The sequence below is a fragment of the Homo sapiens genome, chromosome 19 (genome assembly GCF_000001405.40).
Source record: "Homo sapiens chromosome 19, GRCh38.p14 Primary Assembly".
Classification (NCBI taxonomy): domain Eukaryota; kingdom Metazoa; phylum Chordata; class Mammalia; order Primates; family Hominidae; genus Homo; species Homo sapiens.
In genome coordinates, this window is record NC_000019.10 from 49,251,007 (window position 1) to 49,268,959 (window position 17,953).

Genomic DNA, 17,953 nt, shown 5'->3' on the forward strand with positions numbered 1-17,953 from the left:
TTAGCTGTGCAAAAAGTCTGTCCACCTATGAAAACTCTTCCACTCACCTTACCCAGATTAAGCACTTACCCACAGATATAAAAACATTCATGGCCGGGTGCAGTGGTTCACGCCTGTAATCCCAGCACTTTGCGAGGCCAAGGCGGGTGGATCATGAGGTCAGGAGATCGAGACCATCCTGGCTAACATGGTGAAACACTGTCTCTACTGAAAATACACACACACACACACACACACACACACACACACACACACACGAAAAAAATTAGCTGGGCGTGGTAGCGGGCGCCTGCTGTAGTCCCAGTTACTCGGGAGGCTGAGGCAAGAGAATGGCGTGAACCCGGGAGGCAGAGCTTGCAGTGAGCCGAGATCACGCCACTGCACTCCAGCCTGGGCGACAGAGCGAGACTCCATCTCAAACAAAAACAAAAAAAAAACCCACAAAACATTCATGACGTTGTGCCCACTGGTCTTCAGTAACTTTATAAGAAAGTGTGGTTTTTATTTTATTCATTTCAAAAGCTCCCGCTACCATCAAAGCTGGGAGGTTTGTATCCTTCAACATTCTGACTAGAAGAAAAATTCTGCTGTGAAGCATTTGTGAATCCCAATGCCTGGATGCACCCAAGACCAAGTAAGTCAGAATCTCTGGAGGAGGAACTCAGGAGCGTTTTCTCATGTTCCCCAAATGATTCAAATATACAGCCTGGGTGTATAACCACTGATTGTGGCCCCATGAGCTGTAACAGCCTTCTTTTGTGAGTTATAGAATTGATTTTGGAATCTTCCTCCCTCTATTTGCGATTTATGGAAAGCTTAGAACAGTCGCATCTCTGAGACTATTTTCTTACCTATAAAGTGGTGGATATTATATTAGAGCATTCCTTTTTTGTTTGAGTCCGAGTCTCGCTCTGTCACATGGGCTGGAGCGCAGTGGCGTGATCTCGACTCTCTGCAGCCTCCACCTCTGCCTCCTGGGTTCAAGCGATTCTGCTGCCTCAGCCTCTAGAGTAGCTGGGACCACAGGGGCGTGCCACCATGTCTGGCTAATTTTTGTATTTTTTAATGGGGATGGGGTTTCACCATGTTGCCCAAGCTGGGCTCAAACTCCTGACCTCAGGTGATTCATCTGCCTTGGTCTCCCAAAGTGCTGGGTTACAGGCGTGAGCCACTGTGTCTGGCCGCGTTCCTTTTTTTAATGGCTGCGAGAAGAAAGGATGTTATTATGAATGGAAAGGTCTGAAGTCTGAAGGGCCATGAAGCTGATGGATTGCTAAGGTAAAGGGAGGGGCCTTTCCTTGTACCTGTGAGGCTCTGATTACTTACTTCTCAACACAGGCGTGGCCATTGGTGGTGGCCCAGAATCCCTGCACTAGAAAGACGAGGGATGTTGTCCGCGTTGAGGTTATCAGGTTGACCAGGGCTGCAATGGCAGCCACCTTGACATAATCGTCACCTCCGGCCTTGTAGGAGGTGAAGGTGATGATGGTCCCCATGCCCAGGCTCAGGGAAGAGGGTACACGGCCCCTGCTTGATGCCACAGGTCCAGGGAGGATAAGGCAGAGAGCTGTGGGTGACTGAGAAGTTTTTAGGAGTGGGCTTGGAAGGGTAGGACTACCAGTAAATAAGCAGGCTAAGGGGTCGGCTAAGGTAGAGAGCAAAAGGATAAAAGGGAGGCTGGGGGCAGAAAGAAAGGAGATGTGGGGGAAGGAGACTCTGAGGTCTTGAGAGTCGAGAGAGGGAGAAGGTTTGGAGTCCCGGGCCTCACCTCTGTGGTGATCATACGTCTGAGGCTCGTGACCACACCTTCCAGGAAGAGGCAGAGGAGGATGACGGAGGGGAGGAGAGGAAGACAGAGGTGAGCATCAGCAGGGGCCTCCCAGTCAGGAGTAGAAATATGAACGGTGTCAAGGTGGCCCAGAAGTAACACGATGGAATTATGGGAGGACGATTCTAAGGAGACAATATTTGTGGTTTGGAGCAAACAATAAGCTGCCCAGGAGTCAGGGGCGAGACTCCAAGTAAAGATGGCTTTGAAAGGGTGGGTAGTTGGACACTTAATTCCCCGGCCTTGGATTTACGGCTTATGTGTGAGTTTAAGGAGAGGAAAAGAAACTGAGAAGAGACTTTGAGAGAGAATAACATAACTAAGAGGAATTTTAGTGATTTGCCCCGGAGGTAGTTGAGCTATGGCCCCTCTCTCTGCATATCCCTATCAAACCTTTAGTAAAGTCTACTTTTGTAGGAGTGGTTTATTTTTGGAGGCTGTGAAGAGATGGCGAGCTGAGTCTCCAGGGGTGGAGATGGATGACGTGAAAGGTGACCACCTGCATGAATGCAGGGACCAGGAGGTACAGGTAGAGTTTACCAAAATAATCTGATAAACACACTGAAATACATTTTCTTTTTTTTTTTTTTTTTTTTAAGATGGGGTCTTGCTCTGTCGCCCAGGCTGGAGTGCAGTGGCGCGATCTCAGCTCACTGCAACCTCTGCCTCTAGGGTTCAAGCGATTCTCCTGCCTCAGCCTCTCGAGTAGCTGGGACTACAGGCATGCACCACCACACATGGCTAATTTTTGTATTTTTAGTAGAGATGGGGTTTCACCATATTGGCCAGGCTGGTCTTGAACTCCTGGGCTCAATCAATCCTCCCACCTCGGTCTCCCAGTGTACTGGGATTACAGGTGTGAGCCACTGCACCCGGCCTGAAATACATTTTCTATGTAAAGGGAGCATGATCCAGATGCCAAGGAGATGGATTGAAAGAAAATACTCCCAGGCTGGGTGTGGTGGTTCACACCTATAATCCAGGCACTTTGGGAGGTGGGTAGATCACTTGAGGTCAGGAGTTCAAGACCAGCCTGGCCGACATGGTGAAACCCCATCCCTACTAAAAAATATAAAAGTTAGCTGGGTGTGGTCATGGGCACCTATAGTCGCAGCTACTCAGGAGGCTGAGGCAGGAGAATTGCTTGAACCTGGGAGGCAGAGGTTGCAGTGAGCCGAGATCATGCCATTGCACTCCAGCCTGGGTAACAGAGCAAGACACCATCTTAAAAAAAAAAAAACAAAATAAAAACCGCTGGACGTGGTGACTCATGGCTGTAATCCCAGCACTTTGGGAGGCCGAGGCGGGTGATCACGAGGTCAAGAGATCAAGACCATCCTGGCTAACATGGTGAAACCCCGTCTCTACTAAAATTAGTTGGGCATGGTGGCATGTGCCTGTAGTCCCAGCTACTCAGGAGGCTGAGGTAGGGGAATCGCTTGAATCCGGGAGGCGGAGGCTGCAGTGAGCCGAGAGCACACTGTTGCACTCCAGCCTGGCAACACAGTGAGACTCCGTCTCAAAAAAATAAAGAAATACAAAAAATTACCTGGCATGGTGGTGGGTGCCTGTAATCCCAGCTACTCAGGAGGCTGAGGCAGGAGAATCACTTGAGCCTGGGAGGCAGAGGTTGCAGTGAGTTGAGATAGCGCCATTGCACTCCAGCTTAGGCAACAAGAGCAAAACTCAGTCTCAAAAAAAAAAAAAAAAAGCTCCAAATGGGTACCTGGAATGGAATTGGTGCCACTCAGCTCCTTTAGGGGTTAACATGTTGTCAAAATGCAGGGAGGTGGAGGTTGCAGGACTCAGCTGGGGAGACTGTGGTCTGATCTGAAAGGTTGCCCACAGGTGTCTGCCTGCAGCGATGTGGGGATCTGGTTGATAGTGAGGCATTTCTTCACGCTGTCAATGGGACAGCAGTTCTCTGTAGAGAGACCTGGCCGACTTAGCTTGTCTGAGGAGAGTACAGAATCTTCCTCGGACCCCTGGAGGGAGACGCCGGGTGGCCACATCTGAGTCTAGCTCCATCATGCAGGCTAGAGTGCAGTGGCGCGATCTCAGCTCACTGCAACCTCCACCTCCCAGGTTCAAGCGATTCTCCTGCCTCAGCCTGAGGTCAAGAGTTCAAGACTAGCCTGGCCAACATGGCAAAACTACTAAAAATACAAAAATTAGCCGGGTGTGGTGGCAGGTGCCTGTAATCCCAGCCATTTGGGAGGCTGAGGCATATCTGAGCTTGTCCTCAGGGCAGGTGGAAGGGTCACAGGGATTGCAGAAGAGCAGTCAACAGGGAAGAGTTGGGCTGTGTTGGGGTGGAGAGTGTGGAAGTCTTCGGATTTGCAAAGGTGACAGGGTAGCGGGGCTGGCCGTCAGGGGAGCTTACCGGCGTTGAAATCCAAATCCCTGTGATCACGACCGAGAAGACAACCCAGGCTGCGGTTCGGGACGAGGGCTTCAGCCGCTTCTTCACTGTGGTCCGAGGCATGGAGGGTAGTGTGGTACAAGAAGTACTGGTGGGCCCAGTCTGAAGGCAAGAGACGTCTCGGGGAGGGGACTCAGGTACCACCTTGCTCGGTGCCTACTTCTGTTCACTTCCTCCCCTTGGTGTCCCTGCCTCCCTTGGCCCTGCTGGCCCCTCTCCTCACCAGTGACACTGATGTTCTTCACCAGTGGGCAGTGGTCCCAGGGCAGGGGGTGAGCAAAGGAGTAGAAGAAATTCCAGGAGATGATGGTGCTGTTGTACAAGCTCACCGAGGCGCACACCTGGGGGTGGACACGGTGGGCAGAGACCTGGAGACCACAGAGGGAGATCGGGGATGGCCTGGGGCTGGGTCCCTCATTTACCAGACTGTGAGCATAGCTCATGCTGCACAGCCAGGGGACAAGCTGCTTCCAGACCCGGATGTTGTCCACATGCAGCCACTGCCCCATGATCACCTCCATGTATAAGAGCGGGATCCCGAATAAGAGAAGCATGAAGAAGTACATCAGGATGAAGCTGCCTGGGAAGGGAGCCAGGGGCTGTGCTCAGGCAGCCAGGAGTCCTGGCCCTGTCCCCATTTTCCCCTAGGAGCCCACGTGCCCAACCCCAGCTTTCTCCTCCTTCAGGGCCCAGGACTCCAAGCTCCCAGCCTTGAAACGCCTTCCTTAAGCTCAGGACCCAGGCCCCTGGCCTTACCTCCTCCGTTCCGGTGACACAGGTAAGGAGAACGCCACACGCTGCCCAGCCCGACAGAGAAGGCAATCTGGATCAAGATGCTCTCAGTGTTTTTAGGTTGAACGAAGTAGTTTTGGGTCTTGGTGGCCTGGATCTCCTTGGTCTTGAGCCTCCAGGACAGGGAGTTGGGGGTCTGGAATTTCTTAGAAGACTCTTTCTCTGTCAGATAATTCCTCAAGGGACTCCGTGGCTCTTCTTTCAGGCCCGGTAAATCCTGAGAAAATCTTGGGTCACCAAGAGCAGCAGAATTTAAAGGACACGTCTCAGGTGCCAGGCTGTGAAATTTCATAACCAGGGCTTTGGAGAAATGAGGGCCAGAGTTTAAATCTTGGCCCTTCTCCTTATGAGTTACTAACTTATGGGCAATATACATATATATTTTTTGAGATGGGGTCTTACTCTGCCACCCAGGCTGGAGTGAGTGGCATGATCTCAGCTCACTGCAACCTCCGCCTCCCAGGTTCAAGGGATTCTCCTGCCTCACGAGTAGCTGGGATTACAGGTGTGTCCTACTATATCAGATAATTTTTGTATTTCTAGTAGAGACAGGGTTTTGCCATGTTGTCCAGGCTGGTCTCAGAACTCCTGACCTCAAGTGATCTGCCTGTCTCGGCCTCCCAAAGTGCTGGGATTACAGGTGTGAGCCGCCACACCCAGTTCTGTTTTTCTCATCTTAAAAGCAGCGGTGAATTTCAAAATATTTAATAAAAGCTATGGTGTGAGCACTCACCAATCAGAATGAATGCCAGCCATAAACACTGGAGTATCAGCTGAACACCAGTCCTGTCTGAAATGATTAAAATAACACAATGGAATATTGAGTGCCAAGAGCACAGTAAACAATGGATACACTCAGGTTTCTTTCCCGTTGACTTCTGGTGTACTTGGAAACTTTTAGGCCCAACTAATGCACATAGACTTCTAGGCCAGGTTTTACAAACACAGCTGTTTATCACAGTCACTGGGGGAGCTCTAAAATGATACAGATTCCTGCCTTCCATTCTGCTAGCCTCACTCCTCTAGATTAAGTCTAAGGTGGGGATAGAGATGGGTAGAATTTTTTTTCTTTTGAGACACAGTCTCACTCTGTCGCCCAGGCTGGAGTGCAGTGGCGTGATCTTGGCTCACTGCACCCTCTGCCACCCAGGTTCTAGCGATTCTTCTGCCTCAGCCTCCCGAGTAGCTGGGATTACAGGCATGCACCACCATACCCGGCTAATTTTTATATTTGTAGTACAGACAGGGTTTCACCATGTTGGCCAGGCTGGTCTTGATCTCCTGACCTCATGATCCACCCACCTTGGCCTCCCAAAGTACTGGGATTACAGGTATGAGCCACTGCGGCCAGCCACGATGGGTAGACTTTAAAAGCTTCGTTGGGATTCCACCTTTGGAAAGGCAGCATGAGGAGCTCTATGGACCCACTCCCTAGTAAAACAAGTCAACTTGTGAGAAATATAAAGAAAAACATTTACGGTCTCTAGAAATTGTCCTAAGGGCATATAGCAAGTGACAAAATATTTATTCAAGAAAATATACTAAAATTCTGGGCAGGCACAGTGGCTCACACCTGTAATCCCAGCACTTTGGAAGGCCAAGGCAGGCAGGTCACTTGAGGTCAGGAGTTTGAGATCAGCCTGGCCAACACGGCAAAACCCTATCTCTACTAAAAATACAAAAATTAGCCAGGCACGTGCTTGTAATCCTAGCTACTCGGGAGGATGAGGCAGGAGAATTGCTTGAACCCGGGAGGTGGAGGTTGCAGTGAGCCAAGATCACGCCACTGCACTCCAGCCTGGGTGACAGCAAGGCTCCGTATTAAAAAAAAAATTTATATATATATATACACACACACACACACACACACACACACACACACACACACACACACGGCTCTTTCTCTGCCTTGCTTCCAGTTGAAGGCTATAGTATCTTCCCAGGAGGGACAGGCCACCAGCATTTCTCATTCCTCTCCAGCTACCTGTTGCAAGTGTGGTAAAAAGGTCAGGAGCTCCCTTCTTCTATCCAGTACTGCTCCTCCCCTCTTTTAGGGCAGAGGCTCCACCCCAGCCATTTGAGAATGCTGGAGCCCTGATCTCCCCTGGCCCTAGCTCATGTGTAAGGCTAAGGTTACATTCCAGGAGAGGCAAGTTGATAAGAAAGTTTAATGCCCCATCCAGCAACCTGCTGCTAAGGCAGCTGTGTCGCTCAGAGAGAAATAGGCCACTGTCCCTACCCATCTCTGGAGATTTTACTCAGGGAGAAAGCCAAGCCTTCAGAACAAAGAGCTCTGAAAGTCTCTCCCCAAAGAACTGACTTGACTTGAAACAGCGTGGGAGAGCTCAAGCCTAAGGGCATGCTCGAAAATGGTGGAGGAGGTTCTGTTGGTAAGTAATTAAGAGGAAGCTGGTAGCTTCATGAGACACAAGCTAAACCACAGGCCAACTAGTATACCAGAGAGAATCAGGGAAACAGCTAAGAAGGTCACTCCTGGGTTCAGAACAACTCTCAAACACCAACCTCTAAAACTACTCCTTTAAGGGAGCCTAAATTTAAGTGGACCAGATGCAGAACAATTTATGCCTCAGAGCATTGTCAAAAACAATAATCAGGTGGCAATTAGTGGAGCCTAAAAGCTGAGTGTGGTGAGGGAAAGAGACAGGAGAGCCCACCTAAAACCACTGTCATCCTAGGGTGACAATGCATGTCTAAAGCTGTGCCCTTTGAGGAATATACATTATGACCAGCAGGATTTATTCCAGGAATGCAAGGTTGGTTTAATATCTGAAAATCAATGTTATATCAATAGAATAAAGAACAAAACCCAATAAAGAACAAAACCCATATGATCATCACAGTAGATATATAAAGAGCACTTGACAAAATCCAACACCTTTCATGATAAACACTCAACAAACCTAGAAATAGAAGGAAATCTTGACTTGATAAAGGGAATCTACAAAAAAAAATCTATGGTTAACATCATACTTAATGGTGAAAACTGAATCCTTTCCAAGATCAGGAATAAGACATGAGTGTTTTTCTCACCACTTCTGTTCAATATTGTACTGGAGATTCTAGCCAGAGAAATTAGGCAAGACAATAAAATAAAAGACATCAAGAATGAAAAAGAAATAAACTGTCTCTCTTCCCATATAACATGATCTTGTATAAAGAAAATCCTAAGGAATCCACTAAACTATTAGAACTCCAATAGGTTCAGTAAGGTTGCAGAATACAAGATCAATATACAAAAATTGTATTTCTATATACTTGCAAAAAATCCAAAATTTAAGAAAACTGTTCCATATATGATAGTATGTGATACAGTTTGGATGTTTGTCCCCTCCAAATCTCATGTTGAAATGTAATCCCTACTGTTGGAGGTGGGGCCTGGTGAGAGGTGTTTGGGTCATGGGGCCAGATCTCTGATGAATGGCTTGTTGCTGACCTCTTGATAGTGAATGGCTTCTTGTGAGATCTGGTTAAGAGTGTGTGGCTCTTCCTCCTCTCTCTCTTGCTTCTGCTCGTGTGTAGTAGAAGTGACATGCTGGCTCTTTATGACCTTCCACCAAGATTTTAAGTGTCCTGAGGCCTTCAGCAGAAGCAGATGCTAGCACTATGCTTCCTGTATATCCTGCAGAACCGTGTGCCAAAATAAAACCTCTTTTCTTTATAAATTAAAGCAGCATGGGACTGGTATAAGGATGCACAATAGACCAATAGGAATACCAGTCAGGTATTCCTTTATAGCAATGCAAAAGTGGCCTAATGCAGTGTCAAAAAAAAAAATAAAATACTTAGTAATACATTTAACAAAAGGACAAATTTTATACTCTGAAAATTACAAAACATGTTGAAAGAAGATTTAATGAAAAGAAATCCCATGTTTATGAACCAGAAAACTAAGTATTAAGATGGCAATATTTCCCAAGTTGATCTATAGAATTAATGCAGTCCATCTCAAAATCCCTAGCTGGCTTCTTTGCAGAAAATGACCAGCTGATGATATAATTCATCTGGAAATTAAAGGCGGCCCAGAAGAGCCAAAACAAACTTGACAAAGAACAATGTCGGAGGACTCATGCTTCCTGATTTCAAAACTTATTATACTGCTACAGTAATTAAAGCTGCATGGGACTGGTACAAGAATGCATATAAACCAACAGGATACCATAGGATAGAATAGCCCAGAAATAAACCTTTATGTATGTAGTCAATTTTCAACAAGAGTGCCAAGAGTACTCAATGAGAAAAAGACAGTTTCTCCAACAGATATTGGGAAAATTGGATATACACATGCAAAAAAAATAACCTTGGATCCTTACACTCTACACAATAATTAACAAAATGGATAAAAGACCTACATGTAAGAGCAAAAACTATAAACCTTTTAGAAGAAAATGTTGGGGAGCAAATCTCTATGACCTTGGTTTGGCAATGGTTTCTTAAATATGACACCAAAATTTGTCCTTTTGTGCATCAAAAGACATTATCAGAGAGTGAAAAGATAACCCATCGAATGGGAGAAAACATTTGCAAATCAAGTATTTGGTAAGATTCGAGTATCCAGAATATAAAAATAACTCCTACAACTGAAAAAAAACTAAACTCAGTTAAAAAAAATGGGCAAAGTATGTTAATTAGCCCTATTGCGCCATTTCACTACATATACATGTTCCAAAACATCACGTTGTACATGATAAATATATATAATTTGCATCTGTTACTTTAAAAATCAATTTTTTAAAAAGGGCAAAGGACATCAATAGACATTTCTTCCAAGAAGATAAACAGATGGCCAAAAAGCAGATGAAAAGATGCTCAACATTGCTAATCACTAGAGGCAGGCAAATCAAGACCAGAGTTACCATTTCACACTGATGAAGATGGCTACAAGAAAAAAAAAAATCAGTGGGAAATAACAACTGCTGGGGAGGATGTGGTGAAATTAGAATCATTATGCATTGAGGATAAGAATGTCCACTGGAGCAGCCATGGTAAAAACCAGTTTGGCAGTTCCTCAAAAAGTAAAACAATTACCATTGGATCCAACAATTCCACTTCCGGGTACATACACACCTGACTTGAAAGGAAGAACTCAGGCCGGGCGCAGTGGCTCACCCCTGTAATCCCAGCACTTTGGGAGGCCGAGGCGGGCGGATCACGAGGTCAGGAGATTGAGACCATCCTGGCTAACACAGTGAAACCCTGTCTCTACTAAAAATACAAAAAATTAGCCGGGCATGGTGGCAGGCGTCTGTAGTCCCAGCTACTCGGGAGGCTGAGGCAGGAGAATGGTGTGAACCCGGGAGGCAGAGCTTGCAGTGAGCCAAGATCGCGCCACTGCACTCCAGCCTGGGCGACAGGGCAAGACTCCGCCTCAAAAAAAAAAAAAAAAAAAAAAAAGATTTAAAAAAGAATAAACTCTGGTATACCCTACAATGGAATATTATTCATCCATAAAAAATGAAATTCAGATACATGCTATAACATGGATGAGCCTTGAAAACATGTTAAATGAAATAAGCCAGATACAAAAAGACAAATATTATGATTCTATTTATATGAAATATCTAGAATAGGCAAATTCATAGAGACAGCATATTAGAGGTTACTAGGGGGGTGCTGGGCAGAGGGAGAGGAATTACTGCTTCCCAGGTGCAGAGTTTCTATTTGGGGTGTTGACATGTTTTGGAACTAGATAGAGATAGTGGTTGCACAACATTGTGAAAGTACTAAATGCCACTGAAGTGTTTCTTTAAAATGGCTAATTTTATGTTATGTGGATTTCACCTCAATAAAAATAATAAAAGATGATGAAATAATGCTACCAGACAGACAAAAGTTGGGAGAATTTGTCATTAGCACATCAGCACTGCAAAAAATATTAAAAATCTTTGGGCTGAAGGAATATTATTGGAGCTGGAAAGAGATGTAAGAGTAAAATAAGAGACGCAGAAACACATACTGCGTGATTTCACTCATACGTGGAATCTGAAAAAGTTGATCTAGAAGTAGAGACTAAAATGGTGGTTACCAGAGTGGGGATGATGGGGGAGTGGGGTGCTGGGGAGTTGTTGGTCAAATAATACAAAATTTCAGTTAGATGAAAAGAATAGGTTTAAGATAACTATCATTCAACATGGTGACTAAAGTTAATAACTACACTGTAATCTTGAAAAATGCTGATTTTAAATATTCTCACCACAAAAATATTAGATATGTAAATTAGCTACATTTAGCATTCCACAATGTATATATATTTCAAAACATCATGTTGAACACAAATACATACAATTTCATCTGTCAGTTAAAAAATAATAACATAAAATTTAGAAAGGAATAAAGAAAACCTGAAAGGGTGTCCCAGCTACTACCTAGGTCAAAGTAGTCCTAGCTACTCAGGAGGCTGAGGAGAGAGGATCACTTGAGCCCCAGAAGTTTTGAGGCTGCAGTGAGCTGATCATGCCATTGCACTCCAGTTTGGGCAACAGAGCAAGACCGTGTAGGCAAATTTGAGACTAATGAGTGCTTAAAGTAACAATAGCAGCAATGTATTGTGGGGTTCATAATATGTAGAAGAAAAATATTGGAGAACAATTGAAAAAAAAAATGGTGGGAAAACTAGAAATAGAAGGCAACTTCCTTAATCTACAGCTTCCTTAAGCCTATAACTAACATCACACTGAACAATGAAATATGAATGCTTTTCTCTTGAGTTTGGGGACAAGGTAAGGATGTTCATTCCACATTGTATTAAAGGTCCTAGCCTGTGCAATAAGGCAAGAAAAAAAAGTATAAAGATCAAAGTAAATAAAACTTTCCTTATTTAAAGGTGATGTAAGTATACTGTCAAGAGATCATGTATGTAGCTGGGCACAGTGGCTCATGCTTATAATCCTAGTACTGTGAGGCAGGAGGATCAGTTGAGGCCAGGAGCTCAAGACCAGCCTGGGCAACATAGCAAAACTCCATTTCTACAAAAATTGAAATAAAAAATTGGCCAGATGTGGTGGTACACGCCTGTAGTCCTAGCTACACAGGAGGCTGAGGAGAGAGGATCTCTTCAGCCCAGGAGTTTGAGGCTGCAGTGAGCTGATATGCCACTGCATTCCAGCTTGGACAAAAGAGTAAGACCCTGTCTCAGGAAAAAAAAAACCCAGATATTGTATATGTAAAAAGAATCTACAAATGGATGAAATTAAGTTTGTAATCGAATTTAGCAAAGTTCCTATATATAAGGCGATTGTACAAAAAATTATATTTTTGTATAGTAGCAACAAATAATTGGAAAATACTATTTTAAAACATCAAAGAAATTTAATACTTAGTAATCAATGTAGTTAAAATGTGTAAGACCTCGCTGAAAACTACAAAACAATGCAAAACACTTAGAGAATTTTACCATGTTCATGAGTTGGCAAGTTGAACATTTTTACAATGTCAATTATCCCCAAATTGATCTACAGATTCAGGGCAATCTTAAACACAAAATCCCATATTGTTGGTTTTTTGGAAACAGACAAGCTCGTTCTAAAATTATATGGAAAGCCAAAGACCTTAGAATGGCTAAGGCTATCTTGAAGAAGACCAAAGTTGGAAGACTTAACTTACCGTGGACTTATCTTATTATCTTAAGATTTACTCTAAGGCTACATAATTAAAACAGGAGGGGAGGGGCGGGGGAGATGGGGGAGGGGCTGGAGAGAGGGGTGGGAGTGTGGTGTTGGCAAAGGATAATAAATAGATCAATGGAAAAGAGAGTCCATAAATATACTCCAGCCTATGTGGTCACTTAATTTATAATAGAATTGCCACTGTGATTGGGTGGCGATGGATGGTCTTTTCAATAAGTAGTGCCAGAATAATGATATCTATGTAGAAAATAAGCTTGAGCCCACCTCACATGACACACGAACATTAATTCAAGATGAATCATAGATATAAATGTGGAGGGTAAAACAAAAGAGATTCCAAAAAAATATGAAAATATCACTTTGACTTTGGGTAGCACATTTTCTTAAATATACACAAAGAAAGCACTAAGAAAATTAGAACTCAACCTCATTAAAATTAAGACGTTTTTAAAAATTCAATGACATCTTTAAGAAAGTAAATAGGTAAGCCACAGACGGAACACATTTGTAATGCACACATGTGACAAATGACTTGTATTCAGAATATAAATAATGCCTACAAAACAATAAAAAAAAAAAGCCTAAGAAAAGGTGAAAGACTTGAACAGGGACTTCACAAAAGCAGCTATTCAGATGACCAATAGCCATATAAAAGTGCTAGATATCATTACTCATGATGAAAATGCAAATTAAAGCCACAATCAGGTACTACCGCACAGCTACCAGCACGACCAAAACTGAAAACACTGAGCTCATCAGATACTGTCCAGAATGTGCAGTGACCGCAGCGCCCTTCCATCGCTGGCGGGAGCGGAAAGTGATTTCACCATTTTGGACGGGTGTTTGGCAGACTCCCTAAAGACAAAAACACCTGTTCTATGACCCATAAAGTCACGTCTATGTGCATAAAAATATGTACGAGAATATTTGTTGCCACTTTATTCACAATAGCCTCCAAATAGTGGCATATTCATACAATGTAATACACAATAAAAAAGATCCAGTTACTGATGCCCCCAAAACACGAAGCTCAAAAGCTTTTCAGATTTAATTAATAATTTTAATGGTTAATAAAGTATATTCTTTTTAAATTTAAAAATATTTAATTGACAAAAACTGTATATATTCAAGGCATAATATGATTTATGTATACACTGTATAATGATTACCACAATCAAATTAACACATCCATAACCACCATAATTATCGTGTGTGTGCGCGTGCGTATGTATGTGATGAGGACACTTAAAATCTGTTCTCTGGCCGGGCGTGGTGGCTCACGCCTGTAATCCCAGCACTTTGGGAGGCCGAGGTGGGCAGATCACCTGAGGTCAAGAGTTCAAGACTAGCCTGGCCAACGTGGCAAAACTACTAAAAATACAAAAATTAGCCAGGTGTGGTGGTGGGTGCCTGTAATCCCAGCTACTCGGGAGGCTGAGGCAGGAGAATCACTTGAACCCAGGAGGCAGAGGTTGTAGTGAGCTGAGATTGCACCAGTGTACCCTAGCCTGCACGATGGAGCGAGACTGTCTCAAATAAAAAAAAAAAAATCTGTTCTCTTATCAAATTCAGGTAAATAATACAGTATTATTAACTGTAGCCACCATGTATATATTAGATCCCCAGAACTTAATAATCTTATAACTCAAAGTTTGTACCCTTTAACCAACATCTCCCCATTCCCCATAAGCCCTAGCATCTGCCAAAGCTGCACAGCAGGAAAAAAAAAAAAAGAGGCTAGGCGCGGTGGCTCACGCCTGTAATCCCAGCACTTTGGGAGGCCGAGACAGGTAGATCACGAGGTCAGAAGATCGAGACCATCCTGGCTAACATGGTGAAACCCCGTCTCTACTAAAAATACAAAAAATTAGCTGGGTGTGGTGGCGGGTGCCTGTAGTCCCAGCTACTCGGGAGGCTGAAGCAGGAGGATGGCATGAACCCGGGAGGCGGAGCTTGCAGTGAGCGGAGATTGCGCCACTGCACTCCAGCCTGGGTGACAGAGTGAGACTCCATTTCAAAAAAAAAAAAAAAAAAAAAAAAGGCAATCTATGGAATCAGAAAATATTTGCAATGTACATCCGAAATATGAATGGAACTCATACAACTTAATAGCAAACAAACCAAACGACCTAATTAAAAAGTGGACAAAGGACCTGAGTAGATATTTCTCCAAAGAAGACATACAAATGGCCAACAAGTATATAAATAAATGCTCAACATCAGCCGGGTTCAGTGGCTCAGCACTTTGGGAGGCTGAGGCAGGTGGATCACCTGAGGTCAGGAGTTGGAGACCAGCCTGGCCAATATGGTGAAACCCCATCTCCACTAAAAATACAAAAAATTAGCTGGGCATGATGGCATACGCCTTTAGTCCCAGCTACTCAGGAGCTGAGGCAGGAGAATCACTTGAACCCCGGAGGCGGAGGTTGCAGTGAGCTGAAATCATGCCACTGCACTCCAGCCTCCTGGGCAACAGAGTGAGACTCCATCTCAAAAAAAAAAAAAATGCTCTGGCTATTCAGGGTCTTTTGTTATTCCATACTCTGGGCGGCAAGCCACCTAGGAGCCAAGGCAAGAGACCGAGGGCATGAGCTGTTCCACTATAGTAAAATATGTAAAAACAACAAGAGTTATACTAGATCTAGATCATAGACATGATTACATATGAATATCATTAATCATTAGTTTGTAGCAATTACTCTTTATCCCAATATTATAATAATCCTCGCTCTACAATCATAACCTAGGAAAAACCAGGCCATACAGAGACAGGAGGTGAGCGGACATAGTGAGAAGTGACCAGAAGACAAGAGTGCGAGCCTTCTGTTATGCCCAGACAGGGCCACTAGAGGGCTCCTTGGTCTAGCGGTAACGCCAGCGTCTGGGAAGACAACCGTTGCCAAGCAGACTGTGGTCTAGCGGTAGCGTCAGTGCCAAGGAAAAACACCCACTACTTAGCAGACTGGGAAAGGGAGTCTGCCTTTCCCCGGGGGAGTTTAGAGAAGACTCTACTCCTCCACCTCTTGTGGAGGGCCTGACATCAGTCAGGCTCACCCGCAGTTATCCAGAGGCCTAACCATCTCCCTGTGATGCTGTGCTTCAGTGGTCACGCTCCTAGTCCGCTTTCATGTTCCATCCTGTACACCTGGCTCTGCCATTTAGATAGCAGTAGCAAAATCAGTGAAAGTACTAAAAGTCCCTGATATGCAGAAATAATGGCATAAGCTGTCTCTCTCTCCTTTCTCTGCCTCGGCTGCCAGGCAGGGAAGGGCCCCCTGTCCAGTGGACACATGACCCAGGGGACCTTACCTATCATTGGAGATGACTCACACTCTTTACCCTGCCCCTTTGTCTTGTATCCAATAAATAACAGCACAGCCAGATATTTGGGGCCACTACCAGTCTCTGCCTCTTGGTGATAGTGGTCCCCCGGGCCCAGCTGTCTTTTATCTCTTTGTTTTGTGTCTTTATTTCTACAATCTCTCATCTCCACACACACGGAGAAAAACCCACTGACCCTGTGGGGCTAGTCCCTACACCATACAAATTTTAGGATTTTTTTGTGAAAAATGTCATTGGTATTTTTGCAGGAATTGCATTGAATCTGTACATTACTTTGAGTAGTATGGACACTTTAGCAATATTAATTCTCCCAATCCATGAGCATTGGATGTCTTTCCATTTATTAGTAATCTCTTCAATTTCTTCCACCAATTTTTTATAGTTTTCATTGTAGAGATCTTTTACCTCCTTGGTTAAATTTGTTCCTATGTATTTTATTTTTGTTATTATTGAAAACAGGATTGTTTTCTTGATTTCTTTTTCAGATAGTTTGGTGTTGGTATATAGAAACACTAGTGATTTTTGTATGTTAATTTTGTGTCCTACAACTTCACTGAACTTGTTTAATCTAACAGGTTTTTGGAGAGGCTGTAGGGTTTTCTATATATAAGATCATGTCTTCTGCAAACAAGGACAATTTGACTTCCTTCTTTTCAGTTGGATGCTTTTTTTTCTCTTGAGATGGAGTTTCGCTCTTGTTGCCCAGGCTGGAGTGCAATTACATGATCTTGGCTCACCACAACCTCTGCCTTCTGGGTTCAAGTGATTCTCTTGCCTCAGCTTCCCGAGTAGCTGGGATTACAGGCATGCGCCCCCACCCCTGGATGCCCTTTCTTTCTTTCCCTGGCCTAATTGCTCTGGCTAGGACTCCCAGTACTATGTGGAATAGAAGTGGTACAACCTTGTGTTTTTCTGTATTTTAGAGGCAAAGCTTTCAACTTTTTCCCCATTGAGTATGATGCTAGCTGTGGGTTTGTTATATATGGCCTTTATTGTAACCAACTATGTTCCTGCTATATCTAATTTGTTAAGGGTTTTCATCATGAAGGCATGTTGAATTTGAGATCATATGGTTTTTGTCCTTCTATTAATGTGATGTATCATGTTTATTGATTTGCATATGTTGAACCATCCTTGCATCCCTGGGATGAATCCCACTTAATCATGGCAAATGACCTTCTTGATGTGCTATTTTAAAGAAATAGCATCGGCCAGGCCCAGTGGCTCACACCTGTAATCCCACCTTTTTGGGAAGCCGAGGCAGGAGGATTACCTGAGCTCAGGAGTTTGAGACTAGCCTGGGCAACATGGTGAAACCCTGTCGCTACTAAAATACAAAAAGTTAGCTGGGCATGGTGGAGTGCACCTGTAGTCCCAGCCACTCAGGAGACTGAGGCAGGAGAATCACTTCAACCAGGTGGAGGTTGCAATAAGCTGAGATCACGCCACTGCACTCCAGCCTGGGTGACAGAGTGAGACTCTGTCTCAAAAAAAAAAAAAAAAAGAAGGAAAGAAATAGGGTCTATGTTGCCCAGGCTGGACTTGAACTCCTGGACTCAACTGATGTTTCCACCTCAGCCTCCCAAGTAGCTGGGAGTACAGGCACGTGTCACCATGCCCAGCTACAGTTCTTTAAATGTTTGGTAGAATTTGTAACTGAATTCATTAGATCCAGAGCTTTTTTTCAATGGAAAACTTTTTATTAATTCAAGCTTGTTGCTCATTATTGGTCTGTTCAGGTTTTCTAATTCTTCATAATATTGGCTGGTTATATGTGTCCAGGAATTTATCCATTTCTTCTAAGTTTTCCATATAGTTGTTCATAATAGTCTCTAATGATCCTTTGTAGTTCTGTGATACCAATTGTGATGTCTCCTTTGTCATTTTTTTTTTTTTTTGAGACACTCTCACTCTTGTTGCCCAGGC

At 44.0% G+C, this 17,953-nt stretch overlaps 1 long non-coding RNA gene and 1 pseudogene across 1 annotated transcript in view; one reads left to right on the plus strand and one right to left on the minus strand.

Moving 5' to 3' along the window:
* Window positions 1-17,953, plus strand: part of LOC107985340 (uncharacterized) — a 47,653-nt gene that overhangs the window by 29,163 nt on the left and 537 nt on the right. The gene's annotated exons all lie outside the window — the stretch shown is intronic.
* Window positions 1,327-5,334, minus strand: SLC6A21P (solute carrier family 6 member 21, pseudogene; annotated as a pseudogene).